Source organism: Homo sapiens, chromosome 12 (genome assembly GCF_000001405.40).
Source record: "Homo sapiens chromosome 12, GRCh38.p14 Primary Assembly".
Classification (NCBI taxonomy): Eukaryota; Metazoa; Chordata; class Mammalia; order Primates; family Hominidae; genus Homo; species Homo sapiens.
The window spans coordinates 103896309-103923742 of record NC_000012.12 but is presented as its reverse complement, the minus strand read 5'-3'; the positions used below and the strand labels follow the sequence as shown (position 1 = coordinate 103923742).

Here is a 27434-nt window from a genome sequence, read left to right as displayed (position 1 = left end):
CAACCTGTCATAAATTAAATTCATTCATAGTCTTGTAGCTTACATTTCATTTCCTTAATAGGAAATAAACATCTCCCTAGAGTCTGCCTTACAAAAACAGATCAATTTAAAAATATGTATCCAGTTATCCCCTGTCAATTCTGGATCCTAGCAGAGCGCAAGAAGAACTGAATTTCAAACAGGGATTTGTTAAATTTAAAAATTTGGTAAATAAATTCAGTATTTTGAGTGATCAAATCAGCCATGTTGATAATAATTTATATTAAGGACTTACTGGAATTTTAGCACTGGAAGGAATCTTAGAAATTATGGAATTCCACAATTCCTGCTTTTGGTTTTAAATTATAAAACTAATAGAGTTTCATGATTAAAAATTAATTGGCACAGAAAAATACAAGTTCAAAGGTAAACATGGCTGGGCACGGTGGCTCACACCTGTAATCCCAGCACTTTGGGAGGCTGAGGCGGGTCACCTGAGGTCAGGAGTTTGAGACCGGCCTGGCCAACATGACGAAACCCTGTCTCTACTAAAAAAATAAAATAAAAAAATTTGCCAGCCGTGGTGGCGGGTGCCTGTAATCCCAGCTACCTGGGAGGCAGAGGCAGGAGAATTGCTTGAACTCAGGAGGCGGAGGTTGCAGTGAGCTGAGATTATACCATTGCACTCCAGCCTAAGCTACAGAGTGAGACTCCATCTCAAAAAAAACAAAAAAACAAAGGTAAACATTCCAGGCTTCCCCTACTCTACTGTTCTTAATCTCTAGAGGTTTCCTCTGATAAAGTTTTTTTATGTGTGCTTCCAGAAATTTTGTAGTGTGTATGTATATGTGTGTGTGTGTACATATATGTATGCGTAATAAAATTAGAAATCTTAAATAGATTAAATAGAACAATCCACACTAGGTTATTTCATTTAATAGATCTTAAATGTCTTACTCCTTTTTATCTGCCCTCCTATTTGATAGGCCTTTGGATGGTCTACAGTTTGTTGCTATTATAATCAAGGAATGTTTTTGCACAACTTTTTATATTTGTGCAAGTTTATCTGGAGAATAAATTGTTAGTTTTGGAACAGTTAGGTGAAAGAGTATGTGCATTCAAATTTTCATGGATATTTACCAATTTTCCTACAAAAAAGGCTATATCAATTTATGCTCCTGTCTCAAGCCTTCTCCACCTTTTTTTTAAAGCTTAGAAAATTTGAGTTCCAGAGAAATTAAATGCTGTCCGAGAGTTAGGTAATGGCAGAGCTAACAAACTCATATTTTTAAAATATCCTACATTGTTCTAGCTACTGCATACCTCTTAACCACTACTTGAACAGTTTGAGAGGGTTTTTTTCTTTTAAAGAAAATTTATTTAAACAAAATGTTTGTCGTAGAACATTTGGAAATTAAAGGAAAAAGTCAACCAGACGCGGTGGCTCACGCCTGTAATCCTGGCACTTTGGGAGGTTAAGGCAGGTGGATCACTTTGGGAGGCCAAGGTGGGTGGATCACTTGAGGTCAGGAGTTCGAGACCAGTCTGGCCAACATGGTGAAACCCCGTCTCTACTAAAATACAAAAATTAGCTGGGCATGGTGGCAGGTGCCAGTAATCCCGGCTACTTGGGAGACTGAGGCAGGAGAATCCCTTGAACAATGAGCTGAGATCATGCCACTGTACTCCAGCCTGGGTGACAGAGTGAGACTCCCTCTCAAAAAAAAAAAAAAGAAAACAATCAAGGAAAAAAATTAAAATAACCCATATGCTGTAATCAGATATATCACTATTAGCATCTTGATGTCTTTATTAATATTTAACACATTTTAAGTTAAAAATGGGATCACACAATAATACTGTTTTATAACTGTCTTTTTCACTGACCAATATATGATAAACATTTTCCACAAGATATCCAATTTATTATTGTTAGACCTTTAGTTTGTTAGCAGTTTTAAAACCATTGTAAATATCGCTGCAATGAAAATCCTTAGAGGTAAATGCTTATAGACAAATAGAATAACTTCCTAAAATTGGAATGCTTGCTAAAAATACATGATTTGTTTTACAAGGCTTTGGCTATACACTGACAGATTGCCCCTAGGAAAGTTGTACAAACTTGCATTCTCATCAATTTACATTTTAAGCATAAGAATTTTTTTTTTTTTTGAGGTTGGGTCTCACTCTGCTGCCCACGCTGGAGTGCAGTGGCATAATCTTGGCTCACTGCAGCCTCTGCCTCCTGGGTTCAAGCAGTTTTTCCATCTCAGCCTCCTGAGTAGCTGGGACTATAGGCACGCGCCACGAGGCCTGGCTAATCTTTCTATTCTTTGGTAGACACGGGGTTTCGCCTTGTTAGCCAGGATATAAGGAGCTTTTTAAAAAAGAAAAAATACAACTTGGGGCTGTCAGGGGTAAAATTACTAAAATGATACTAAAATGATTGTGGCGTGGGGGTGAGGTGGGATTTGAATATAGAAGTTTCTAAGCCTTAAAATGTTGTAAGAAATTCCTGAAAAAGGTCAGAGGCATTTTTGACCAGGTAATAGATTTTCTTATAACTTTTAGTTATAAAGAGCTACGATAAATACAGTGATATTACTGAGGCTGCTTCATCGCAAAATATGAATTCAGACATTTGCACCAGAAATAATATTAACAACAATAATAGGAATAGCAAACATTTATTGAGGACTTTGTGTAGATCTTGCAGATTCTAAAATGTATATTAGGCCGGGTGCAGTGGCTGACGCCTGTAATCTCAGCACTTTGAGAGGCCGAGGCGGGCAGATCACAAGGTCAGGAGTTCGAGAGCAGCCTGACCAACATGGTGAAACCCCATCTCTACTAAAAATACAAAAATTAGCCAGGTGTGCCAGGTGTGGTGGCGCGTGCCTGTAATCCCAGCTACTCAGGAGGCTGAGGCAGGAGAGTTACTTGAACCCAGGAGGCAGAGGTTGCAGTGAGCCAGGATCACGCCACTGCACTCCTGCCTGGGCGACAGAGCGAGACTGTCTCAAAAAATAAAAAAATTAAGTAAAATGTATATTAAACAGTGATAGCTTGATTGAGAAATCTGTCGGGAAGGATATTTCTTAATGAGAAGTCTACCTTCACAGTGTTAAAAAAAATTTTAAAGACAAAGGCTTATGAGGTGCTTATTATACAAGGCCTCATTTATTCCCATCTCACAGGTAAGGTCAGTATTCCGGATTTACAGCTGTAGAAACTGTGTCAGAGGCAGACCCTGCGGCAAGGTTTACATGACTCCGAAGTCCATGCTCAACCTCTGGGAGTGTACCCAACAAAGTAGGAGGTGCCACTGTGATGCCAGTTGCTGCTATCAGGTGGGCCAGGGTCAAAATATTAAATAACATTGACTCCCTCGTGCAAAAGTTGAACCCTTTCAATTCTGTTTCAGTCTTACTGATTATGAGAAGAGAAAGTCAGTTTGGTACAAGTCTGTCTAAGTACACGTTCATCTTTCCCTTTCTAATGAAAAGAACTGTGTCTAACTAGAATTTAATTACATTCTTTTCTTTTTAATGCATTTATTTATTTATTTATTTAGAGACAGGGCCTCGCTGTGTCACCCAGGCTAGAGCCCAGTGGTTCCATCATAACTCACTGCAGCCTGGACACCCCTGGGCTCAAGCAGTCCTCCCTCTTTGGCCTCCCGAAGTATTGGGATTACAGGCGTGAGCCATAACTCCTGGCCTTAATGCATTTATTTTTATAGCTACTGTCAATTTGTGCCATATAGGTGTTTTTTCCTCCACTTACAGTAATAATGAAATATTTCTAGTAATTTTTTTTTTTTTGAAACGGAGTCTTGCTCTGTTGCCCAGGCTGGAGTGCAGTGGCGTGATCTCAGCTCACTCTAACTTCTACCTCTCGGGTTCAAGCGATTCTCCTGCCTCAGCCTCCCAAGTAGCTGGGACTACAGGCATGTGCCACCATACCCGGCTAAGTTTTTTTGTATTTTTGCAGTGAATTGGTCTGAGCTTGGACCTTCGATCTGTATACTATGCTGTCTCCCATATTTAGCGGTGTTTTATTCACATTGCTATTATTATGGTCTATAACTACTTTTTTTCTTTTTTCACTTAAACATTTTCCTCTTGCTATATAGTTCTTGGATTTTTACAAATAATCAACTTTATTTTGATATAATTTACATTAAATAAAATGCACCCGTTTGAAGTGTTCAACTGATAAACTTTGATGAATATCTACACCTGTGTAACCACCACTATAATTAGGATATAGAACATTTCCATCATTCCAAAGAGTTTCCTTGTGCTCCTTTCCATTTATAGTATTTCCTCCCCAAACCTTCTCCAGCTAACAAATGAGCTGCCTTCTGTCATCATTTTTTTTTTACTTTCTCTTTGACCTATGAGTTATTTTTATATGCGTTATTATGTAATGTAATGTCACTCTCTATTCCTAATAGTAGTCCTTATTCTGCAGTCTGCTTTTTTTCTGAATAATAATATAGGCCCTTTAGTTTACTTTTAAATAGTGTTTGCATGGTATATCTTTTTCCAACCTTTTACTTTTATTTTGTCTATCTCTTTATATTTACAGTAGATTTCTTCTAGGCAGCATGTAGTGGGGTCTTTCTTTTTAAATCTTATCTCCTAATCTCTCCCTTTAAGGGAGGGATTTACATCTAGTTTAATTATTGATGTTATGGGATTTCAATCTGCCATCTTGCTATTTGTTTTTTATTTGTCCCATCTGGTTATTTTTCTCTTTCTCGGCATTCTTTTGCACTAATTGATTATTTTCAATGATTCCAATTGATCTCTCCTATTGACTTATTAGTTATGTTTCTTCTTAAAATTTGTATTAGTTGCTATAGAGTTTACAGTGTTTACCCCCCCTTTTTTTTTCCCCGAGATGGAGTCTTGCTCTGTTACCCAGGCTGGAGTGCAGTCGTGCCATCCTGGGTCACTGCAACCTCCACCTCCTGGGTTCAAGCAATTCTCCTGCCTCAGCCTCCCAAGTAGCTGGGATTGCAGGTGCGCACCACCACACGCAGCTAATTTTTGTATTTTTAGCAGAGACGGGGTTTCACCATGTTAGCCAGGCCTGTCTCAAACTTCTGACCTTGTGATCTGCCTGCCTCGACCTCCCAAAGTGCTGGGATTACAGGCGTGAGCTACTGCGCCTGGCCTCTGAAGAACTTCTTTTAACATTTCTTATTGCACAGGCCTTCTGGAAGTCAATTTACTCAGTTTTGTTTGTCTGAAAAAGTCTTCAGTTTTCCTTCATTTTTGTAGACATTTCACCTGATATATAATTCTGGGTTGACCATTTTTTTCTCCCAGTTGGTACTTGAAAGAATTCACTTGGCTGGTGCAGTGGCTCACAATTGTAATCTCAACACTTTGGAGACCAAGGTGGTAGGATTGCTTGAAGCCAAGAGTTTGAGACTAGCCTGGGCAACAAAGCGAGACCCTGTCTCTACAAAAAAAAAAAAACAAAAAACAAAAAACAGATTATAAAACAAAGAATTCACTCAATTATCTTCCTTGTTTCTCTGTGTGATGTGTCTACGTGTTTTATTATTATTTTTCTTTTTATCTTTTTTTTTTTTTTGTATTTATGCTGCTTGGGTTTAATCTGACTTTCTTGGATTTGTGGTTTGATGTCTTTCATTATTTTTGAACATTCAAGCCATTTCCCTCCCCGCCCAGCTATGTCTTCTGCCTCATTCCCTCTTTTCTCCTTCCAGTACTTCAATTATATCTATTTGGAGTAGATGAAGTTGTTCCCATAGTTCTTGGGAGTTTGGTGGTTGTTTTCCTCTCTCTTTCTTTTCCTCTTTGCATTTTAGTTTGGATTTCTGTTGTCCCATCTTCACGTTTTCTGATTCTTCTGCTGTGTTTAGTTTTCTAGAAAGCCTGATGAAGGAATTCATCTCTGATACCATGTTTTTTCTTTGTAATGTTTTCATTTGAGTCTTTCTCATAGTTTTCATCTGTTTGCTGAAACTTTACATCTATTTATGCATGTTTTACACATTTTCCACTAGCTTTTTTTTTTTCTTTCTTTTTTTTTGAGATGGAGTTTTGCTCTTGTTGCCCAGGCTGGAGTGCCATGGTGCGATCTTGGCTCACTACAGCCTCCACCTCCTGGGTTCAAGCAATTCTCCTGCCTCAACCTCCTAAGTAGCTGGGATTACAGGCACGCGCCACCTCCTCACCCAGCTAATTTTGTATTTTTAGTAGAGATGGGTTTCACCATGTTGGCCAGGCTGGTCTCAAACTCCTGGGATTATAGGTGTGAGCCACCTATGCCCGGCCCTCCACTAGCTTTTTTTAACCTATTATTCATAGCTATTTAAAACTTATCTGAAGTTTCCATTATTTGACTCATCTCTGAGTGTGGTTCTGTTTATATATCTATTGATAAAGGACTGGTAGTGAGTAAAATAGGAATGACCTTTGATCACAGGGGAATAGGAGAAGGTAGAATCTGCAAGGGCCAGTAATCTATCTTGAGCCTCCGACATGGCTGGTGAGGCGTCTATTTATAAAACCCTCCTAGTGTCTATTCTGCCATCTTTCAGAATTTTTTTTTTTAAATAGTGTGAGATTGTGGTTTAAATTACTCTTTTCTAAATTGCCACCTATTTATTACAGTACTGCTTATTGCATAGGTGTTTCCCACCCACCAATTTTATAGTGTCTGCATGACCTAGGGTCTTATCTTTATACTATGGTGGCATCATACTGTATGTGTTCTGGAGTAAGACTGACCCACGTTTAGATCCTGGCTCTCCACTTCCCAGCTAACTGACTTTGGATGTCCTGTTTATCCTGTCTGCACTTGTGTTTCTTCATTCGTAAAGTAGGGTGGTAATCCTAGCTATCATAGGATTGTCAGGACAATTCCATGCAAAGGGTTAACACTTTTTAAAAAGGTACTGCATTATTATATTGTTGTCAGGTGATCTTGATGAAAAATTGCTGTATAATGTGATATGTTTTTCTACAAGTGAAAGCAATAAACATAACCAAAGAAAAGCTACATTTGGCATGGAAATGAGTTGTATCAAGAAAAACCTCATAGAACTAGGTTGTTACCATAGTTTTTTTTTTCTGAGCTCTTGCAAGCATAGCTATGACATTGTCGGAGGGTGTATGTTTTTCCATTAGCTCAGTGGAATTTAATTCATGGAGGTGAGTGGAGTGTTGTATGAGCCTGCACAATATAAGACTAAAAAAATTCCCTGAACTCTCCCAGGTTCTTAGATCCAGACTTCCTTGCCTCTCAGCTGCCAGCTGCTTTCAGTCTACAGCCTTTGTTCCTCCTGTCCTGACTTCATCTTCATACCTGCTTTCATTCTTGCTTCTGGTCACAGTCATAGGTCTTCCTTGGCTTGTTCTGCTCTTAAAGACATTGAGTTCCTTTTCTGGGTTTGTTTTCTTTTTCACGCTATCAGCAAGTGCCCTTGCATAACGTCCAAAATCATAGGGGACAGAAGTAGCAGCTGGCCACAGGGACACTGAGAAGGTAGAATGGGAGGCTCGGGGAAAGATGGGGAGGCCTCTGGCCTGTGCCCACTTGCCTTCTGGTTCTCAGTTCTTCAGCAAAAGCTTTGGAAGAACAGGGGAGACATGCACTGCCTGTAATCCTAAAATGAATGTTTTTTTTCTTTTTCAGTCCTAACTTAAACTGGATTGTTTTTCAACTCTGATCTGTCCCCTGGTTGGCATCTCTCACCTTCCAATACCAATAAGAAACAATTTTCAAGAAAGATTTCCACCTGTTCATAGCAAACATAATTGGGAGGAAGATTAGAAGCAGTGGGGGTCGGTGGCTGTGCTAGGATGAAAATTGTGATATTTTATGCATAGTGTTGTCCCCAAGCAAAGAGAAATGAGCCAGAAGACAAATGAGAATGTAGAAAGGTATACCCAATTCCTTCAAAAGCCCCAGAAACCCATTCAGCCTTACATCTGCTCGACTCTGAATGATTTTCAAGAAGAGAGAGACTTTTTGGCAAACAACATCTTCCCTCAGCTTAATGAACTCTGCAATTCCTGGGGCACATATTTCAAAGCCGTGGACCTGAGTTGGTCAGCATTAAAGGCCCCGAAATCCTTACCCACCCACCTGTTTAGACAGTATTCTTGTCTTCGCTCCCAACGTCTGAAGCTCTGCCTTGACTATGTGAACAGCTGCTTTCCCTTTTTCATCTGCATGCTGGGTCAGACGTATGGAGACTTCCTCCCTGACTACTCACATTTCATGACCTCCAAAGTGACTCGCTTGTCAAGCTTATCCAAAGTAGAATAGAATCTCTATGTTGCTGCCAAAAACGGTTATCCTTGGGTTCTGGAGAACCCCAGCTGCAGTCTGACGGAGTTTGAGATAATCCAAGCAGCATTTCTGAATGAATCTCAATTTCAGTATTTTTACTTTAGGACTGGAACCACACTGCTGAAGGCTTTAGATGATGAGAAAAAGGGAGAGAGGCTGCCCTCAAGTTCTTCAACCAACGAAGAGGAAACATTGAGGATTGGAAAGCTTAAGGCCAAGATTATTAGTAAAGGGCTCCCTGTGAGATTTTATAGTGATCTCCACGAGTTGGGTGAGCTGGTTTTTAAGGACTGGTCAGTTGTGATAGAAAAACTTCATCCAGCCACTTTAATGATTGAAAATATAGGTTAGTAAATATAGAGATAACTAAGTCCATTATCAACATAAAGGTAATGTTTTTATAGGTCTTCCTTGTGAAAGGAATTTTTAAATGATTGCAAATGTTCCTTAAGCATTTAAAAATTATTATTGTGTTCTTGTGACATGTATTTTTCCACTTTGAAGATTTTTGCAACTGAAAATAAGAGCAAGTAATGAGTCAGTCATGGAAGATTGTTTAGGGGGTTAAGGAGCTCAGAGAAGACCCAAAATATCTGGCCGTTAAGTGAGTCTAGAGCAGTGGTTCTCAACCAGGGCCGATTTTGCTCCTTCAAGGGACATTTGGCCAAGTCTGAAAACATTTATGATTGTCATGATTTGGGGAGAGCTACTGGCATCAGCGATACTGACAAGCATCCTACAGTGCACAGGACAACCCCCATAATAAATAATTACCCAAAATTCAGAAATACTGAGCCAAGAGGAAGAGAATCAACTTTTATTAATTTTCTAGTGCTTTGGTTATGCTATTACATTTAATCTTCAAGGTTTAACCCTGCTAGGTAGGTATTATAATTCCGATTCTGTAAATGAGCAAATGAAAGCTGCTGTGTAGCAGTGAAATGACTTACCAATGTCACATAACTAGTGAGGGACAAATTCAGGATTTGAACTCAGGTCTCTCTGACTCTAAAATCTATGCCTGCTCTTTTTCACCTTTTTTTTTAAAAGTATGATTCATGGATTGGCAGCCTCAGCATCACCTAGTAGCTTGTTAGAAAGGTAGAATCTTGAGCTCCATTCCAGGTCAACTGAATTAAAATTTGCAGTTTAACAAGATGACTAGGGGCTTTACATGTATGTTAAAGTTTGAGAAGCATTGCCTGACATCATATTGCCTCTAAATGAAATGATTACCATTATTTTTGGAAATAATGTCCTGTGGACATGTACCAGATTAAAAAGGGAAGAGTCTGTCACCTAGACAGACTTCAGGAGGGATCTGTGATGATAATATGAAAGATAGACTATATGAAAATTATGTAAAATTGTATGAAAATATAATGTTTATATGCCTATGTGTGTCCTGGGGGTAGGAGGATGGCCTGTGTCTTTGATCAGATTCTCAAAAGGCTTAATGACCCCAAAAGATTATAAATTACTGATGAAAGGGCCCAATTAACATGGGGATGGAAAATGGTGGCAGGTGGTACATTCTCAAATGCTTTCAGGGACCAGGCACACAATAGTCCTTGTAATGTGATAGGGAGCAGATGGATCTGTACTGAACAGGAGAGTCATTTGAATTCAGTGTGGGTGGTGGTGGTGAAGACAAACCTCTGCAGGCTAGACAAAACTCTGCCTAGAAGCCAAATCATCTGGACCCTGGAAAAAGAACATTGTATCAGTTCCAACTCTTTTGGTTGCAGGTGACTCAAACTGATTTTAACGAAAAGGGAATTTATTAGCTTATATAACTAAAAAGGCCAGGATTAAGTCTGACTCAGCTCAGGCTTCATTCAGTTGCTCAAATGATGTTACCAGACCCTTGTCTCTGACTACTTCTCAGCCTGGCCCTGCTGTCCTGATGTTAGCTCAGCTCCTTAGCTTCTCTATCGTGAAGGAAGAGGAAGATGGGCCATAGCAGCTCCAGGTTCAAGTCCAGCAGAAATGGCTCAAAGTCCTAGCATTCCTAGCATTGAGTCTTTCTGGCTCTGATTAGCCTGACCTGGGCCATATGCTTGCATTTGATTCAATCACTGGGTGTCAAGGGAATGTGATGCTCTGATTGGCTAATTCCGGGTCACATGCCACTTCTGGAGCTGCAAGTGGAGTTAGACTCCTTGGAATAATATGAACTGAGAGTTGGGATGGGTGGCTCCACAATGATAATCCAGGGCTGTTACTGAAACTAGGGTAGGGTGGTTGGATGTTGAGCAGCTAAAAAGAACCCACATATTTATGACAGGCTTGGGGTTTTAGAATCTGACAGACAGGTCGTTGGATCTTGTATTTTTCAGCTCCTAGTTATGTGACCTTGAGTGCATTACTTAGTGTTGGTAAACCGTTGTTTTTTCTTCCGTAAAATTGGTTAACATTAACCACTTTGAGAGTAATTATGTAAACCACCAAAAACAACACCAGACACATATCAGGCACAGAGTTAATAACTAGTGAGAATGAATAAAAACAAATGGGTTCGATAAGAATATATACATTTGGTTAAAGTCAGAAATGTGGTTAATATTAATATTCTTTTACTAATCTTAACCTGAACTGCATCTATTGATTAATATTCACTAATGTGTTCAAGAATATAGCCTTTCTGTGTTTTGGGGTTAAGGTCATATTATTTCTCCATAGTATTCTCCTTAGCCTTTGATTTTGGATATTACTGAAAGGTTAGCTTGTTTTAGACTTTATTCTTGAATGTATATATGTGGTCTAAATGTCTGAATTAGAAGGCATGGAATGGATGGATTATTTAAAAAATAATCCTTCCTTGCTTTAGACGGAAGCCTTAAATTCTTTCTCTTTTGGATCTTCAATGCTCTTTAATCACCTAGGTAGCTCCAAAATCTCATAGTCCACAGTTAGGGTAGTGATAGGCCATTTGGGCAGCTGGTAGTTATTGTAAGACAATGTAGAACTATCAGTTTACACTCTTGACCCATAGAAGTAATTCTGAGGTCCTTGAAGATCCCTGAGACTATTGGATGAGGTTCAGGGTTCGTGCAAGAGGACTGTTAGACTGTGAGGTCATCCAGATTCTGTCTAAGATCTTGAAACTTGAAGCTGACCTTGGCCAGCTTGTGGATCCTCCAGGTCTATTCTGGTCCTGTCTGAGCCCTGGGGCAGCCCTGTTAACTATGAAGGTACAATGTGAGTATTTTGGGAACTTACCAGGCTAAACTATCTGGTGTTCCTTTTCCTGCATGTGTTGATAACAGCCTTTACTCCTAAACAAACAAACATAGGGAATATGGGTGTCTCCAGAGACAGGAGGGCATTTTGGGAGCCCAGAACACCCTGACTTTTATTAGGCAATGAATTTAGAATTGCAGTAAATTAAAACTGGAAGAAACTTTAGAAATTATCCATTGTCTGGCCCCTCCCCCTTATTTTATCAGAGAGTTTAAAAAACTTGCCCAATGGCAGAGCTGCAGCTGTACCCATGGTTGTTATCCTTATTAGGGCATTTGTCCTAAAAATATACCCCACTTGCTCAACCTCTGTCATAGATAGACACACATACATACCTCACAAGACTGGATTAGATAACTTCCTACTTCACTAACAGTTTGAAAAAATGACCTGCATTATATAGCAAACCTAATTTTTTTGCCCTTGTCATTCTGAGGTCATGAAATAACTTGGAATCGTAAGTAGGATTCTATGTACAAATAGCAGAAGAAAGGTTCAATTGTTTTCCTGTAGTTTTCTTTCATTAGTATATTGAATGGGCTGTGAAATCTGGAATATTTCACAAATAGAAGGTGATATAGATACAGAGAGATACCTTCCTGGGCATTTGTAATAACATGTAGAATCGAAAATGTGAAACTACTAATCTAAGTTATTAAAACTTATCTTTTTCACTATCAAGACTACAAGCACAGTTTTGAACGTTTCTATCACGAAGAGTTTACTGAGAAGTGCAAGCAAATGTGTGTTATTTCCAAGGAGTCAGATAGGACCTTTGAAATCTTGGAAAAATTTGCCTTAAAGGATGTGGAACTTGATTTTAACAATGTGGCAGCAGATTCCAGTTTAGATTCTGTCCCCAGGTAAGATGTCAAGAAATTCTAAGCTCAGGCAGAACAGCCTGACTTTGGTAAACGCAATCCCCCAAACTTGGAATGCCTTTTCCAACTTTCCCCATTCTATGCTCATCCCTTCAAGCAAGAGAGACCCCCTAAAAGCCAACCCGGGGTTAGAATTTTCTTATCAGATATCACTCTGCACTTGCAAAATTTTTCTGATGTTTCATGTAGTTTCCTCCAGTGTCCTCAAGAAGATTAGACACTTCCAGAGTGCAGGGAACCACCTTCTTTTTTCTCCCATACATCAAAGGTGGTCTAAGTAATTTTTGAGAATGATGGAGTGACTTTAAAGAGAAGAAATTAGGCCAGGTGTGGTGGCTCACACCTGTAATCCCAGCACTTTGGGAGGCGGAGGCAGGTGGATCACGAGGTCAGGAGATTGAGACCATCCTGGCTAACACGGTGAAACCCCGTCTCTACTAAAAATACACACAAAAAATTAGCTGGACGTGGTGGCGGGCGCCTGTAGTCCCAGCTACTTGGGAGGCTGAGGTGAGAGAATGGTGTGAACCCAGGAGGCGGAGCTTGCAGTGAGCCGAGATCATGCCACTGCACTCCAGCCTGGGTGACAGAGCGAGACTCCGTCTCAAAAAAAAAAAAAAATTAGATTAGGAAATATGAATAACGCATCTGCATAATATTATATAATTTACAAAGAGCTTCCACATGTATCATCAGCTCATTATTAATTACATTCAGATATTCAGCTAGCACTTATGAAAATGATATGGACCATATTATTTCTGTTTGTTTGTAAAGAATCAGGTTATCTTGAGCTGGGCACGGTGGTGTATGCCTGTAATCCCAGCTAATCAGGTGAGGCGGGAGGATCCCTTGTGCCCAAGAGTTTGAGCCCAGCCTGGGTAACATAGTGGGACTCCATCTCTAAAGAAAAAAACAGGTTATCTTACTCAACATATGCACTCCTTCATTGTTTTATCCAGTATACTCTACAATAAAACCTCCATATCTTTCTCACCCTGGGTGGTGAAATACTGTGTTCACCACCCACAGGCATTAGGAAGCTGAGGCCAGCAGTGAGAGAGCTGGGGTTACCCATGGTATCCCTCCCAGTCTCATCCTTGGAAGTGGGGAGGTTCTTAGGATAGCTTTATTTTTTCCATTCTCATTTTCCAGCTCTTAAACCTTGCATCTCATGTGTCCTGTGAAAGATTTGTGCTTTGAAATAAAACTGCAGTGCTGGGATGGCTAAGGGCTGTTTTTCACCGTTGCTGTCCCAGGTTCAGAACCTACTGGTTTAGTTCACTCAGGGACAGGGCTACCAACATTCTTGTGGTTCTGGGAACCCATGCCAAGAGGAAGACAATTTATTCAGTTAATACAGCATGGTGCTCAGTCAATATTTTCAGACTACAGGAGAAACATATAGGTCATGTGTTAAGAATATTAGATTTAAGTAGACAAATTCATAGAGACAGAAAGTTGTTTAGTGCCTATTGGGGGAAGAGGGTGGTGAAAGAAATGGAGAATGATTCTTAGTGGGTACAGTTTCTTTTTGGGGGTGCTGAAAAATGTTCTGGAATTAGATAGCAGTGATGCTTGTACAACCTTGTGAATATATTGAAAACCATGGAAGGGTAGACTTTAAAATGGTGAATTTTTTAGTATGTGAATTATTTCTCACTTAGGTTATAATTTTAAGTGTTTCAGAGTGGATGAGAAATGTAATAAATTTTATTGCAATTGAACAAGTCAAATTGTTGTGCTCAGTAAAAATATAACAAATAAGCCCTTTTATATTAGATACATGAAAACATTCAGGGCCTTGTTTGCTTTGCCATTTGGAAACAACGCTCTCTACCTTAAGTTCCTGAATAGTGTGTGTAGGTCAATAGAAAAGGAAAGTTCTTTTCAGGTTTCAAAGCATTGTCTTAATAACCAACTATATAGATCAATAGGATCCTTTTTTTTCTCATTTCGAAAGGAACCACAGATTACTTTGCAAAATGAAATGTTCTTTTTGTTCTTGAGAAGAAATTTAAGACCCTACCCCTGATTATGTGGATGTCTCTTATTGCAGCTTTCCTTCATTTATTTTACCTGCTAGATACAAGAACTGTTCTAGAGATGGGATATGGCAGTGAACAGAAGAAACAAATCTCTGCCTCTACAGAGCTTGCATTGTGGAGACAGGCATGATAACTATGTGAAATATGTAGTATTCGTGAGATGCCTTCAAGTGCTGTGGAGGAAAAGGAAACACTGGAAGGAATTAGGCCATCTGGTAGGGTGAGGGAAGCCCTCACTGAGACGGTGACATTGGGGTAACTACCAGAGATAGGTGAGGGAGCAAGCTATGTACATATGGATTGGAAGAGCATTCCAGACAGAGGTCATAGCAAATGTGGAGGCCTGGAGGCTGGAGAAATAGCAAAGAGGCCAGGCGGCTAGAAGAAAGTCAGCTGTAGGGTTGGTAGTAGGGGATGAGGTTGGAGATGCAATGGACAGTGGGGAGGATGTGGATCTTGTTTGGTCTTACAGGTCTTTGCAAGGACTTGGCTTTTACTGTACTACTTTTGAGCAGAGCAATAACCTGCTTACATGACTCCTTTTTTTGCGGGGAAGGGGGACAGGGTCTTGCTCTGTCTCTGAGTCCAGAGTGCAGTGGCACGATCCTAGCTCACTGCAGCCTCAAACTCCTGGGCTCAAGGGACCGTCCCACCTCAGACTCCCCAGCAGCTGGAACTACAGGTGCATGCCACCATGCCTGGCTAAATTTAAAAACAATATTTTTTTTGAGACAAAAGTTATGTTGCCCAGTCTGCTGTCAGACTCCTGGGATCAAGCAATCCTTCTGTCTTGGCCTCCCAAAGTGCTGGGATGACAGGCATGAGCTACCATGCCTGGCCTCTATGACATATTTTGATGGACTCACTCACACTGCTTGGTTGAGACTGAAAGAGAGCAAAAGTGGAAGTAGGGCACAAAATCAAACCTGACCATTCAGATTTGATGGTGAAATCATTTCAGCAATAAGGCATTGATTCCAAACTCATACTAATGGAGATGGAATTATTATTTTATTATTATTATCATTATTATTATTATTTGAGATGGAGTCTCGCTCTGTTGCCCAGGCTGGAGTGCAGTGGTGCAATCTTGGCTCACTGACAGCTCTGCCTCCCGGGTTTGTGCCATTCTCCTGCCTCAGCCTCCCGAGTAGCTGGGACTACAGGCGCCTGCCACCACGCCCAGCTAATTTTGTTTTTGTATTTTTAGTAGAGACGGGGTTTCACCAGGATGGTCTTGATCTCCTGACCTCGTGATCCACCCGCCTCAGCCTCCCAAAGCGCTGGGCTTACAGGCAGGAGCCACTATGCCCAGCCATGGAGATGGAATTCTTATGAAGCAACTTCTAATGACACTGTTTTAGGTTTTCTTTTTTAACGAATTTTCAGGCTGATTTTCTTCTTTGCTGAAACTGAATGTCAGGTTTACTTATTTCATTCACTCACTGAACAAGTTATGGTCAGGTGTTGTGCAAGTCACTAAATATTCAATGGTGAATAAGGTGAGCCTGGAAACTATCCTCCTCATGGAACTTAACATCAGTGAAAAGTCACTAGACACGTATTTATTGAATGATAACTGTGTAAGGTACAAGGCCAGAGTGAATTTCATGGACCTGAGAATACTTTGCATATTCAGAAGCTTTTCAGTGAAAAAGAAAGCCACAGAACAAGTTGTGTTATGCTCCTGGCAGTTCAAAGAAATCATATTCATGCAGTATTACCAGCTAACCCAGTAGAAGACTCTCAGTGAGTCACTAACAATGATAATAATTTAGTTGATTTCTAATTTGGTGGTCATCAGGATTGAAGGGAATTCTTGGCATATGAGTGCTTCCCTCCCCTCCTCTCCCCTCCCCTCCACTCCCTACTCTTCACCTCCTCTCCCCTGCCCTCCCCTCCCCTCCTCTTCCCCCTCCCCTCCTTTTCCCCTCCCTCCCCTTGCCCCTCCCCTCCCCCTCCCCTCCATCTGCTCCTCTCCCCCTTCCCCTCCCCTCTGTCTCCTTCCCTCTGTCTCCTCCCCTCCCCCTCCCCCTTCCTTCCTTCCTTCCTTCTTCTTTCCCTCCCTCCTTCCCTCCCTCCCTCCCTCTCTCTCTCTCTCTTTCTTTCTCTCTCCCTTTCTTTCCTTTCTTTCTTCTTCCTTCTTCCCTCCCTCCCTCCCTTCTTGTCTTCCTTCCTTCCTCCCTTCCAACAGAGTCTTGCTCTGTTGTCCAGGCTGGAGTACAGTGGCATGATCTTGGCTCACTGCAACCTCCATCTCCCGATTCAAGCAATTCTCCTGCCTCTGCCTCCCAAGTAGCTGGGATTACAGGCACACACCACCACACCCAGCTAATTTTTGTATTTTTAGTAGAGACGGGGTTTTACCATGTTGGCCAGGGTGGTCTCAAACTCCTGACTTCAACTGATCTGCCCACCTAGGCCTCCCAAAGTGCCAGGATGACAGGCATGAGCCACTGCGCCTGGCAGTGCTTCAATTTCTGATGCTCTTCCAAGATGATGTTACACGTAGGACCAGCCTGGCATTGGTGGTGGTAACCCAAGGGAGGAGGAGCAAGCCAGATGCAAGGGCAGTGGACTAATGTGGTCGTTTCCCTCCCCAGGCCTTGGGACCTTTATGTAACCCTGGTTCTTACTGGACAGACCTAGGATTTGTCTAGCTGGAAGGGCCTTCCAAAGTTGCTGTCTTTACTCTTCTAGTTTTACACAGGACAAAGCTAAAGCCCAGAGGGTGAATGACTTCTTTGAAGCTGGCTGAGGCCAAAATTGAAACTAGAACTTTATCTTTTAGAAGGAAAATGTATGCAGGAAAATTTTCTTTTCCTTCCTTCCTTCCTCTCTCCCTTCTTCCCTTCCTTGGTAAATATTCTTTACATTTTATTACCCTTTTATTTTTCAGAATAAATCCTACTCCAACTTACAAGTCTATTTTGCTCTTGTCTAGAGAACACGGTTGTGGGAAGTCCACTCTGATTGCCAACTGGGTTAATTACTTCAAAAAGAAACATCCGAGCATGTTGTTGATTCCTCATTTTGTGGGCAGCACCTGTGAAAGCAGCTACATCATGTCTGTGATCCATTACTTCATCACAGAATTACAGTACAGAAACTACGGTAAGAGAGTCAGACTTACCATTCATTCAGGACATGTCAGGGCAGTTAGAAATGGGTGGCTCTCTCTTCTGCTCATGTGGCTGTTGTTCCTTTGCTCTGATCTAAACCCTGTATTGCCTCCCACATCTACCCACCACTTCCCTCACAGAGCTAGGCTTCCTTCCTCCTGCCTGTCTCCTTCCTTCCTGCTTGCCTTCCTTCCTTCCTCCTTCCTTCCTTCCTCCTTCCTTCCTTCCTCCCTTCCTTCCTGCTTGCCTGCCTTCCTTCCTTCCCTCCTTTCTTCCTTCCTTCCTCCCTTCCTTCCCTTCCTCCTTCCTTCCTTCTTTCTTTCCTCCCCTCGTTTCTTCCCTCCTTCCTTCTTTCCTTCCTTCCCTCCTTTCTTCCTTCCTTCCTCCCTTCCTTCCCTCCCTCCCTCCTTCCTTCCTTCTTTCCTTCCTCCCCTCCTTCCTTCCTTTCTTCTCCCTCCCTCCCTCCTTCCCTCCCTCCCTCCCTCCTTCCCTCCCTCCCCTCCTTCCTTCCTTTCTTCTCCCTCCCTCCTTCCTTCTTTCCTTCTTCCCCTCCTTCCTTCCTTTCTTCTCCCTCCCTCCTTCCTTCCCTCCCTCCTTCCCTCCCTCCCTCCTTCCCTCCCTCCCTCCTTCCCTCCCTCCCTCCTTCCCTCCCTCCCTCCTTCCTTCTTTCCTTCCTCCCCTCCTTCCTTCCTTTCTTCTCCCTCCCTCCTTCCTTCCCTCCCTCCTTCCCTCCCTCCCTCCTTCCCTCCCTCCCTCCTTCCCTCCCTCCCTCCTTCCTTCCCTCCCTCCTTCCTTCCTTCCCTCCCTCTGTCCCTTTCTTCTTCCCTCTCTCCTTCCCTTCCTTCTCCCCTTCCTCCCTTCCTCCCTCTCCCTCCCCCCCTTCTCCTCCATCCCCCTCCTCCTCTCTCTTTCTTTTTTATTTCTTTCACCAAACATTACTTGAGTACCTTTCTGTGCCAGGGCACTATTCTAGGCAGTGGAGATACAATAGTGAACAAAATGGACACCAGTTTTTACCTCATGGAGTTTTCATGTTATTAGGGGAGGGAGGAGGACAAAGAATTAACTGTCACTAAATAAGAGACTTTTTGATAATGGTGAGTTCTATGAAGAAACCCAAAGCAGAGAAAGAGGTAGGCAGGATGTGTAGGAACTCTTAGGATTTTAAATAGAGTATTCTGGGGAATCTCATTGAGGAAGGGACAATTAAATACATCACTGAAAGAGAGGAGGGAGGGAACCAGGCGGGTGTCTCGGGAACAGCACTGTTGGAGGAAGCAAGTGCCAGGCCCTGGGTGGGACATGCCTCTCTACTACTGCTGCCCTACTCAATTCAATAACCATGTATTGAGCAGGTTCATTCTCTCATTTACTCACTCATGCATTACAGAATATTTATCGGTTGCCTGTTCTGTGCTAGACACTCTTCCCAGTTCTGGGAATAGAAGAGTAAGTCAGGCAAATAAGGTCATAGCCCCCATAGATGTTATGTCCTAGTTGACAACAGTAGATAACAAATAAATAGGAAACATGTCAAATAATTATTAGTGCCATGCAGTGTGATGTGATAAGGTGCCAGGGTGGCTATTTGAGCAGTCAGGGACTATGTCTCTGTCTTAGGGCAACTCTAGCTGCCATATCAACTGAATCTCATTTCAGTGGCTTCTCAAAGGGAAGCTTATTTCTTACTCATATAAACAGTATAATATGGGGTCCCTAGTTAGGTAACAAGTCACTTTCCTCCATGTGGTGACTTGGAGACACAGGCTTTCTTTCCATATTAAGGCTATGTCATCCCCTGGGGCCTCAGAGCCCTCCACTTGTGTTAGGGGGAGGGGAAAGAGTGGAAAAACACATCTGTTCCTCAGAAGTCTCAGACTGGAAGGGATTCATAGCCACCTCCACACCCATTCTTTTGACAAGCACTTGGCCACACTGGGCCCACATGGCCACACTGGGAACTGAGCAGGGATAGAACAGTAACCCCACCCTGTGGAAGGGGGAGCATGGGCTTTTGTGGAACAGGTAGCCATCCTCTCTACTACTTTCTTTGTGGAGATCTCATGGACACGAAGGTAGGCAGCCATGTGGAAACCAGGAGAAAGAACATTCCAGGCAAAGAAAACAGCTCAGGTCATACAGCTCCTCAGCTGGAAAGCAAGTTGAATGACTTAGAGAGGGAAAGAGAACCGGTGTGGCTGGGCGGCGATGGACTCCAGGTGGGGCCACTCTGGGCTTTGCAGGCCATAACATTAGGTTTGGATTCTATTAAGTGCAGTGGGAGGCCAGTGGAGGGTTTTAAGCAGGGGAATGACATGATTCGATTAATATTTTTAAAAGACCAAAATCAATCTGGTGTGTGGAAAATGTGTGTAAGGAGACAAGCATGAGGCAGAGACAGGTGTTAGAGGCTACTGCAATAGTCCAAGCCAGAGATGACAGTGGCTCAGAGAGGACAATAGCAGTGGAGGTGGAGGGTTTTGGGTGGATTGAGGATTTGCTGATGAATTGAATGTGTGGTTTGGAGGAAAGGGAGGAATTGAGAACTCCTAGCTTTTGGCTTTAAGAAGCTACATGGGTGGCGAGGGCTGTTGACTGAGATGGGCCAGCGTTGGTGGGGCGGTGGAGGGGAAGCAGGTTTTGAGGGAAATGGAGTTCTGCTTTGGGCACGTGATATTTAAGTTGCCAGGTGTGGGCCAACGTGTAATCACAATCGTGTGGGACCTGTATTGTGCCTGACTGTGCTAGGAGCAGCTAGGGAGTCTGACCACTTGCGTTCAAACCTTGTCTCACTACCTATTAGCTGTGTGACCCTGGGTGAGTTATTTTAACCCTCTGTGGCTCAGTTTTCCTATTTGTAAAAAGTGGGTAATAATAATTATTTTTAAAATGTGCCTTACAGGTAGTTGACAAGATTAACTGAGATAAAGTATGAAAGACCAAGGCTCTTAGTAAGCATTGGCATAGAGTAAGCATTGATAAATCTTAGCTATTACTATTGTTAGGCGCCTGCTGTGTATTTCCATGTTTGTATGTGTCTGACTTTGCTTGCTTTTGGGAATTCATCTCTTGTCATGCAGGGACACGTACCCGTGTGTGCCTTTGGGCCCTAAGTGAGTATGTGGGTGCCCAGGGTGAATTTTGATGGGTGCATCTTATCTCTATAAAAGGGTACAGGGATTTGAGCTTCTTTCTGTGCATGTGGTGGGTGTCTGTGAGTAAACAGAGGGAAGAACACGTGTGGATGAGGTCTTTATGGTTGCATTTCTCAGGGCATATAAAATGGATAAAGTCAAAATCAGTAGAAGCAGGTGTGACTGTGTCTACACAGCAACTAATCCTATTCTGGCACATCCCAAAGGTGTTCAGTCTGGCCAGGCTGATGATGTAAACTCCGTGCTACACACTCAATTACGATTTTATTCCCAAAGTGAATTGTTATTTTAATGAACGTGTGTTTGGATGCAAAGAACTCCTAATAAAAACAGCTGCTGTCTTTCAAAAAAAACCAGATTTTTAAGCTGACAACAGTAGAATAAGTTCAGGAACAGCCTACGAATACTTGACACTTTCTAACCCTGAGAGAACACCCCTCCTCATTAACAAGAGGAAGGGCTGGTCCTGGACTTGGCCCACAATTCTGGCTCTGTCACTTATTAACTGTGTGATCTTGGGCAGTTTGCTTAAGCTCTCTGTTCCCCAATTTCTCATCTGTAAAATGAGAATGGGGTTCACAGTACTAACCTCATAAGGCTGTGTGAGAATTAAAACATAATACAAAATTTAAAAAAGCTGCGTTAAAAAAACCCAAAAAACATAATACAAAATACAAGTAAGGAATTTAAAGTAGTACATGGCACGCAGCTGCGATTATTGTTGTTGTTATTATTTATTATTGTTATTGTTATTATTCCTTTCTGAGCTAGAGAAAGAAGCAGGGTGTAGGGGCTGCTAGGGGAAACAAGACATTCTTGTTCATTAGCTGAGTAGGGAGAGGAAGGACTGCAAAAACAAGAGTTTGCAGCTGTCATCTCTGCAGCCCAGAAAGCCTGCAGGTGAGCGGAGAAGGCTGGCCCCAGAGTCATTTATTGTGGCTGCCTTTGCTGAGACCTGGTTTCACCTGGGTGAGGTGGATGTGGGCAGAGGAGGAAGAGCTGCTGCTGTGAACACAGCCAGCCTGAGAGGCCAGGTGCTCAGAGCAGATTCAGCCTCTTTGCAGAGAGCATTTTTCTGCACCCCACCTCAGCTGTCTGAAGCTGCAGATCCTGCGTGGGCTGTGAGCCAGGGACCCTTTCTATCTGGGGCACCTAATCACACCCAGTGACACTCATGTTTCTACTCTTCGGTCCTCAATCCCTGCTTGTCAGGATAAAGGGATCTTGTAGATGGGACCTGCCTGTAGCCAGCTCTACCGACTCCCACACCCTTTGCCTGCCTTGCAGGCAACTGGTGTCACAGAAGACATGCTTCACGGAAGGTCAGAGTAGTCACTGACTTTTTTCTTTCGTTTTTCTCTTTTGAGACAGGGTCTTCCTCTGTTATCCAGGCTAGAGTGCAGTGGTGTGATCACGGCTCACTACAGCCTTGACCTCCTGGGCTCAAGTGATCTTCCCACCTCAGCCCTCCTGGTAGCTGGAACCTCAGGAGTGTGCCACCATGCCTGGCTAATTTTTTAATTTTTTGTACAGACAGGGTCTTGAACTCCTGGGCTCAAGCAATCATCCAAACTCAGCTTCCCAAAGTGCTGTAATTACAGGCGTGTGCTACCATGCTCAGCATGGTCACTGATTTTCATATTTGCATGTTTCCTTACCATGTGACCACATGGAATCTGGGGGCAGGTTTGAATAAGTTCCATTTATTGAAGGCTTTCTATGTAGCGGCGCTAAGGGCTTTATCAGCATCTCATTTAATGCTCTTAATGGTCCACCCATAGAATTATCATCCCACATAGGAAGAATGGGGCTCAGAATGTCAGAGCCACACAGCTAAGCAAGGGCATAGCAGGGAGTGCAAACTCAGGTCTCTGTTGGGATCTAAGCCCCTAGTCCTCATCACTACACTGCCATCCTCCTTGAGCCAGCAAAGGAAAATTTCCCTCCTGTGGATGCTTTTTATCAGTCTCCTCTCCTAGCATCGGGAAAGTCTCTGCTCAAGTTGGTGATGTGGAATGGACAGAAATCCTTGGCAGAGCTTGCCAAGCTTTTCACCCTGGGCCCTGTTGACTTCCCAGCCTGATCTCTTTCCCTTTGCCCTACAGGTTTGATCTTGGAGCACTCCAGTCACTTCCATCCCTCCATGCCTTTGCCCATGCAGTTCTCTTCTCCTAAAATGCCCCTTCCCTTGTCTCAGGGCAGTGGAATCCTTCTCATCCTTTATGGCCCTATTCGAAGGTCACCCCCTCCATAAGAGGGACTGATGGGTACCTCTGTCCCTCAGCCCTAACTTTGACCACGTGGCACAGGACCCCCAGTCCCACTGCGTCTTAGTTTTCACAAGTGTCTCCCTCCAGACACTGTGAGCTTGCCTCCCTAGATCCCTCAGGTGAATTATAAATGGTCCTGTGATCTGTCTTATTGTTTGTCTCCCTGTGTAAGTTCTGTGAGTGCAGGGATCATATCTATTTTATTGGCCATTGTCATACCCAGTGCCTGACACAGACACAGAAGCTTCTCAATAAACCTATGTTGAATGATGAGAGATAACACTGCTAAAAAGTGGCTGTTTAAACACGTGAGCTATTACCATTTAAATGAGGTAATTGGCCATTGTCATTTAGTAGAGACAGATTGTTCTTGCCAAAATAAGGAGAAATGTTTAGAATCATTTTCCAATACTAGTAACACTGACTTTATTGTCAACATTATTTTCAGAAAAAATAATTATAGTCACCAAAAATGTGATTTTAAAACCACTCAACATATATATTTTCCTTCATATATAAAGATATATATCTATAAGCATCAGCCATGAGTATTTTTTTTTTTGCTTAGAATTAATTTTTGCTGATTATATTAGTGCTCTATGCTCTGTGACTGTCAGGCAGTATATACTTCCTGAGGTTCATTCACATTCACCTTGTCATTTACACTCTATGCCAACCGTGTGGAAGAGGCAGAGGATCCACACCTCTGTGGGCTCTGACAGGGGCTGCTTGTGAGCCATCTACACTAAGAAATGGGGGGCCGGGCGCGGTGGCTCACGCCTGTAATCCCAGCACTTTGGGAGGCCGAGGCGGGCGGATCACGAGGTCAGGAGATCGAGACCATCCCGGCTAAAACGGTGAAACCCCGTCTCTACTAAAAATACAAAAAATTAGCCGGGCGTAGTGGCGGGCGCCTGTAGTCCCAGCTACTTGGGAGGCTGAGGCAGGAGAATGGCGTGAACCCGGGAGGCGGAGCTTGCAGTGAGCCGAGATCCCGCCACTGCACTCCAGCCTGAGCGACAGAGCGAGACTCCGTCTCAAAAAAAAAAAAATAAAAAAAAAAAAAAAAAAAAAAAAGAAATGGGGGCCACACATGGCTTGAAAACAAATCATTAGAAAAAATAGTATTTTAAAAGCTCCTGATGATCTGTGTGTTCACATTCCCTTCACTTCTCTGGGCCTCAGTTTCCTCATCTACAAAATGAAGGGTCTGGACTAGCCTAGATGATTTCCAAGAACCCCTTCTGCTCTAAAATTCTGTCGTTTCAGTTCTGAAATCTCAACGATGCCCATAATTTTAAAGGTTTTTAAATAAAAACTCAAGGGATGAATCATCAGCTGAATTTCTTTCTCTTCCCTTTCTTGAAAATCATTTTTCATTGTTTGACATAAGCTCAATCTCTATCTTTTCTGACACCTTCACTTTCTTAATGTCCCACATTCATAAAAAAAGTTTCAAGTAATCGATTTTATGATCGCTTTGTGTTATAAAAATCTCTTTAAAAGTTAACACAACTCTACTATACTATAAAAAGATGAATATAGAGAAAGTAACTTATTATAAAACAATGTGTATTTGAACATGTAAATGCGCAGACTTGAATCAAAGACGTAGTGCCTCTGTATAGGAAATCACCATAAAAGCAATAAGTTTCAGTCTATAAATATAGGTTGATGTGGGTGTGTCATATTAAAGACTCAAATATTGGCCGGGCATGGTGGCTGACGTCTGTAATCCTAGCACTTTGGGAGGCCGAGGCAGGCAGGATCATCTGAGGTTGGGAGTTCGAGACCAGCTTGGCCAACATGGTGAAAATACGTCTCTACTAAAAATGCAAAAAATTAGCCAGGCTTGGTGGCGTGTGCCTGTAGTACCAGCTACTCGAGAGGCTGAGGCAGGAGAATCGCTTGAACCTGGGAGGCAGAGGTTGCAGTGAGCCAAGATCATGCCACTGTACTCCAGCCTGGGTGACAGAGTGAGACTCCATTTCAAAAAAAAAAAAAAAAAAAAAGAAAGAAAAAGGAAAAAAAAAGACCAAACATCATAGGCAATATTGCTATTGGGTGGTGATTTTCTGAAATGGTGACTAAATCTTGGTGTCATTTTAGACAAAACAATGTATAATCTTCCATCAATTTATGTGGTGTTACATTCTAGAAAATTCAGTGTGTTTTAAAACCATACAAAAAAATAGTTTGTGTTTATATGTAAAATGGAGTTGGTTTCTAGGTTAGGTCATTATCAATTTTTTTCTCCCCCTTACGTGATTGTCGAAATATCTGAACGTCAGGTAGACCTGGGGGCAAAGCTTCATTGGGTGTGGCTGTCCTGTGTTGTAGGATGTCTCAAAACCCTGGAACCTCTCCTGTTAAGAACTACTGCTCTAAGCAATGTCCTGTTTTTCAACTGTTCATGGTACCTTCCTATGTCCCAGCCTTTGGCTGTGCTGTCTTGATGATATGCCCTTCTCCTCGTCTCTGCCTATGTACCCTTAAAGGCTTATTTGAAGTGTCTTTCACACAGAGCTTTTCTTTATTGTGATGGTTCTTTATTGTGATGGTTCTACATCAAGCTTCAGCAGCCTCCAGACTCATATTCTGCCTTGAAATTTGGCTATTTGTATACAGAACCAATTTCCACTTCCTTTAGGTGGTTGACTTCATATATGAATCATTTTATCTCCTCTCGGCATCTAGCATGGAACCGTCACATAATAGGCAACTGATAAATATTTGCTAAACATAATTACTCTCAACGACTCTAACAAAATCTTAATGCATCTGAGAGACCTAATCCATTAAAGGTTCTACATGTGACTGTATTTTCCAGACCTCAATGTGCTTAAATTTCTGTGGAAAATATTGCTTGTGAAAAATAAAAGCAAGACGGAATTTGCAGTAAAATGTTCTTAGGGTATTAGGTAGTTGATGACAACTTGGGGTTGCTGCTAGGTCACTTTATCACAGTCTGAAAGTCAATCATCTCTAATGACTTCCTTTGCCTTTTGGGGGTTCATAGCTTAGTTCTTTCTAAGAATGTATACTTTCCAGAATCCAAAGTCTAGGGCCCAATAGTGTGGCTAGAGTTTAGGATTATTTCTGTTAAGTTGAAGATGGGCTAGGGCCAAGGAAACGAGACAGTGGGTGGGAGCTTCTATATTTGAGCATTACTGGAAGAGCCCAGGGTGGTGGCTGTGACCCTAAGCACGCACCCAATGTTAAGGAGTGTCAGAAACTTCACAGATCACAGGGCTTCTCTTCGTATCCAACTCTTTGTAACATGACCTGTTTTTGCATTCTGGAAGATGAGAGTAATGTTTTGGATCACACAAAAATTTTTTTATATCAAATCCTGAAAATGTATTGGAGACAATCTGGTGGTAAACATCGCTATTATCTCTTCTGGGCTGAATATTTTGAAGATGGTAATCACATGTATACATATGTGTGTTAGACGTACAGCTGTGAGTAGCACTCATTTTTCCCAACCTCTTCTGCTTCCCCAGCCCATAAACATGTTTTAGCAATGACGGAATCATTTCTACCTAATTTGAACAAATTTCTATGCTGTAGGTACTCAGCTTGAAACAGATATTCTCAACGAAGACTCAGATGGCTTGGTCTTCTCATTTCTTGTGGAAGTATTCATTGCTTCCATCAGTTTAAAGCCATGCATACTTGTACTAGATGGAATTGAAGAACTGATTGGCATTTATGGGATTTCAGGTCAGAAGGTAATGTCTTTTTAAAATAACCCCTATTTTATCACAACTTTATAAAAATAAAACAATTTAAAAAAAGAAATAAAAAGAATAAAAACTTCATTATTTAGGATGTATTATATATAACACCTTTCCATTGTATCACACATCTCTGGTTTTAGCCAACACTGCTTTTAGTTACTGCTTTATATTTTAATTAATTAAGAGACAGGGTCTTGCTGTGTTGCCCAAGCTGGAGTGCAGTGGGATGATCATAGCTCACTGTAACCTCCAACTCCTGGGCTCAAGCCATCCTCTTGCCTCAGCTTCCAGACTGCAGGTGCACACCACCATGCCTGGCTAATTTTTTCAACTTTTTGTAGAGATGAGGTTTTGCTATGTTGCCCAGTCTGATCCTGAACTCCTGGGCTCAAGCAAGCTTCCCAGCCTGCCTTCCAAAGTGCTGGGATTACAGGTGTGAGCCGCCGCACCCAGCCCTGCTCTATATTTTATTGAACAAATACTTCTATAATGTATTTACAATGGGCCAGGCACCATTTTAGGAACTTTAAGAACATTAATGCATTTGGCTGGGCATGGTGGGTCACGCCCGTAATCCCAGCACTTTGGGAGGCCGAGGAGGGCGGATCACCTGAGGTCAGGAGTTCAAGACCAGCCTGGCCAACATAGTGAAA

At 42.1% G+C, this 27434-nt stretch overlaps 1 pseudogene across 1 annotated transcript in view, besides 2 other annotated features; it reads left to right on the top strand.

Annotated features, from left to right (window-relative positions):
• TTC41P (tetratricopeptide repeat domain 41, pseudogene) overlaps positions 1 to 27434 on the top strand; it is an 86463-nt pseudogene that overhangs the window by 6469 nt on the left and 52560 nt on the right. Inside the window, exons 2-5 of the transcript NR_027249.1 lie at positions 7660 to 8665; positions 12245 to 12425; positions 17391 to 17613; positions 26620 to 26772. The product of NR_027249.1 is annotated as a tetratricopeptide repeat domain 41, pseudogene (transcript). The remainder of the gene's footprint in view (positions 1 to 7659; positions 8666 to 12244; positions 12426 to 17390; positions 17614 to 26619; positions 26773 to 27434) is intronic.
• Positions 6570 to 6739: an enhancer, noted in NCBI's record as "experimental_23539 CRE fragment used in MPRA reporter constructs". NCBI's record gives its function as "activates a minimal promoter by MPRAs in K562 erythroleukemia cells, with activity observed for both the introgressed and non-introgressed 12:104310867 variant alleles {active_cell/tissue: K562}" and the evidence as "EXISTENCE:reporter gene assay evidence [ECO:0000049][PMID:34662402]".
• Positions 21877 to 22378: an enhancer, noted in NCBI's record as "H3K27ac hESC enhancer chr12:104295143-104295644 (GRCh37/hg19 assembly coordinates)". NCBI's record gives its function as "activates a minimal SCP1, AML or CMV promoter by ChIP-STARR-seq in naive H9 embryonic stem cells {active_cell/tissue: H9 hESC(naive)}" and the evidence as "EXISTENCE:reporter gene assay evidence [ECO:0000049][PMID:30033119]".